Source organism: Homo sapiens, chromosome 12 (genome assembly GCF_000001405.40).
Source record: "Homo sapiens chromosome 12, GRCh38.p14 Primary Assembly".
Taxonomy (NCBI): domain Eukaryota; kingdom Metazoa; phylum Chordata; class Mammalia; order Primates; family Hominidae; genus Homo; species Homo sapiens.
Genome location: NC_000012.12, coordinates 91803017 through 91806302, shown reverse-complemented (window position 1 = coordinate 91806302; position 3286 = coordinate 91803017). Strand labels below are relative to the sequence as shown.

General features: G+C 45.3%; 1 annotated feature.

Moving 5' to 3' along the window:
* Nucleotides 1114–2313: an enhancer, noted in NCBI's record as "CDK7 strongly-dependent group 2 enhancer chr12:92197766-92198965 (GRCh37/hg19 assembly coordinates)". NCBI's record gives its function as "activates an origin of replication core promoter dependent on BRD2, BRD4, P300/CBP, MED14 and CDK7 cofactors, with strong dependence on CDK7, by STARR-seq in HCT116 cells {active_cell/tissue: HCT116}" and the evidence as "EXISTENCE:reporter gene assay evidence [ECO:0000049][PMID:35650434]".

The window sequence follows — 3286 nt, the reverse complement described above, 5'->3', positions numbered from 1 at the left end:
TGGCCCCCAGTCTCTTCTGACTTGTAGGGTTTCCTCTGAGAGGCCTGCTGTTAGCCTGATGGGCTTCCCTTTGTAGCTGACTTGGCCTTTCTCTCTGACTGCCCTTAAGATTTTTTTTTCATCTTGACCTTGGAGAATCTGATGATTATGTGTCTTGGGGATGATCTTCTTGTGGAGTATCTTACTGGGGTTCTCTGCATTTCCTGAATTTGAATGTTAGTCTATCTTGCTAAGTTGGGGAAGTTCTTCTGGATGATATCCTGAAGTATGTTTTCCAACTTGTTTCCATTCTTCCCCCTCCACTTTCAGGTACCCGAATCACAGATTTGGTCTCTTTATATAATCTCATATTTCTTGGAGGTTTTCTTCATTCCTTTTCATTCTTCTTTCTCTACTCTTGTCTGCCTGTCATAATTCAGAAAGCCAGTCTTCCACCTCTGATATTTGTTCCTCTTGTTGGTCTATTTTGCTATTAATCCTTGTGAATGCATTGGGAAGTTCTTGTAGTGTGTTTTTCAGCTCTTACACAGGTTGGTTATGTCTCTCTCTAAACTGGTTATTTTGGCTGTCACCTTCTGTATTGTTTTATCATGATTCTTAGCTTCTGTGCGTTAGGTTATAACATGCTCCTTTAGCTCAGCGACGTTTGTTATTACCCGCCTTCTGAATTCTATGTCTGTCATTTCAGCCATTTCAACCTCAGCCCAATTCTCAGCCCTTGCTGGAGAGGTGTTGCAGTCATTTGGTGGAAAAGGGGAACTCTGGCTGTTTGAGTTGTCACTGTTTTTGCATTGATTCTTTCTCATCATTGTGGGCTTATCTACCTTCAATCTTTGAGGTTGCTGGCCTTTGGATGAGGTTTTTGTGGTTTTTCTGTGTTGTTGTTGTTTTCTGTTTGTTTTGTTTTCTTTTAACAATCTGGCCGCTCTTCCATGGGGCTGCTGTGGTTTCCTGGGGGTCTGCTCCAGACCCTAGCCACCTCAGTTCTTTCCATACCTGGAGGTATCACCAATGAAGGCTGTAAAACAGCAGGGACGGCAGCCTGCCTTTTCTTCTGGAAGTTCCGTCCCAGGGGATACTGACCTATCGCCAGCTGGAATGCACCTTTAAGAAGTGGTTGGAGACTCCATTTGGGAGGTCTTATTCAGTCAGGAGGAATGTGATCAGGGTCCTACCTAAAGAAGCAGCCTGGCTGCTTTTCGGTAGAGCAGCTGTGTTGTGCTGGGGACCCCTTCAGCCCCTCATTGGTCTGGGCTCTCCAAGGCCCCCAGGCTGGACCAGCTGAGGAGCCAGAACAGCCAAGGTGGTCACCTGCACCACCCCTGAGGCACTCCACCCCAGGGAGAAATTGGAGCTCTGTCCCCTCAAATAACAGTGGCAAGGGTGACTGGAGCCCCTGGCTGGGAGGATCCATCCTCTGAAGAGAAGCAGATTTCTTAAAGAAGCAGTCTGGCCATGCCTTGACAAAAACTATATTGTGGTAGGGAATGGCCTCTGTGCCTGTCAGCTTGGACTTTCCAAAGTCAGCAGGCTGGAATGACTGAGTCATCCAACCAACCCAGGTGGTGGCCTCCACACCCCCCAGCGCTTTGTTCCAAGGAGAGATCAAAGCTCTGTCCATAATAATACCTGCCAGTGGGCCTGGCTGGGAGGAACCACTCAGTGAGAAGGAATGGATCTGGGTCCCACTTAGAGAAGCAGTCAGGCCATGATCTGGCTAAGCCACTGTGTTGAGCTGCTGGGGGACCCTTCCTCATTTGGACCATTTGGACACTCCAAAGCCTGCAGGCTGGAGTGGCTGAGGCAATCAAACAGCAGAGATGGTGCCTACCCATTCTCCTGGGGGTTCCATTCAGTCTCAGGCATGCTCCACCCTATTGCCAGTGGCTGACTGGAATTCCAAGCCAGTGGGTCTCATCTTGTGAGGTGCCCTGGAAGTGGGGCCCACAGAACAAGGCTGATCAGCTCTCTGGATTCTGTCCACTTCCTAGGGGTATGTGCAGACCTCTTGCCTTGTCGAGTTGCAGACACGTTTGTTGCACATCTAGGGGCTGGAGCATGTAAAGCACCTGGGTCTCTGTGTGTGCCTGAGCCGCTGCTCTGCTGAAACTCCACACAGCTCTGTGTGTCCCACCCAATGCCCTGGTGGTGTGGGCTCACAAGGGGATCTCCTGATCCGTGGATTGCAAAAATCTGTGAAAGAAGTGTGGTTTCCCAGGGTCACACAATCACTCACCACTTTCCTTGGCTGGGTGTGGAGGTTCCCTTGGCTCCATGTTGCTCCAGGGTGGGCCATAGCCCCGCCCTGCTTTTCTTCATTTTCCGTGGTTTGAGTTGTTTCCCTGATCAGTTCCAGTGTGACTACCTGGATATTTCAGTTGAAGGTGCTGTATTCACTAGTCTCTTTTGTTCCCCTCCTTGAGTGCAGCAGACCATAATCGCTTCTAATCGGCCATCTTGGCCCCCCTCCGAGGTTTTTTTTTAAGAAAGTAATCAATGTAAAAAGATTTACAAGGAATCATGATTAGAAAAAGATTATTAATGATTATTATTTTCATGGTAGTAAAAACATATAACATGAACTCTACCCTTTTAAGACATTTTTTTCATGTACAGCACACTGTTGTTAACTGTATGAACTATATTGTACGGCAGATCTCTAGAACTCTTTCCTCTTGCATGCTTGAAACTCTATATTCATTGAACAGCAAGTCTCCATTTCCTCTCCCAGCCTCCAACACCATCAATCTCCTTTTTGCTTCTATGAGGTTGACTACTTTAGATACTTCATAGAAATGGAATCATGCAGTACTATTTGTCCTTCTGTGCCTGGCTTAATTTCACTTAACATACTGCTCTCAGGTTTCATCCATGTTATCACGTATTGTGGAATATCCATCTTTTTTAAGGCTGAGTAATATTCCATGTGTGTATACACCACATTTTCTTTATTCACTCATCAATTGATAGACATTAGGTTGTTTACAACTCTCAGCTATCATGAATAATGCTGAAATAAAGATGTGGGTGCAAATACCTTGTTGAGATCTTGTTTTCAATTCAATTGGATACATATCCAGAAGTGGGATTGCTGGATCATATGGTAGTTCTATTTTTAATTTTTCCTGGAACCTCCATACTATTTTACATAGAAGTTACATCACTTCACATTACCACCAACAGTGCACAAAAGTTCCAACTTTTCCATATCTTCACCAACATTGTTATTTTCTTGTTTTTTTTTTTTGTTTAATTATGGGCATCTTAACAGGTGTAAAATAATATC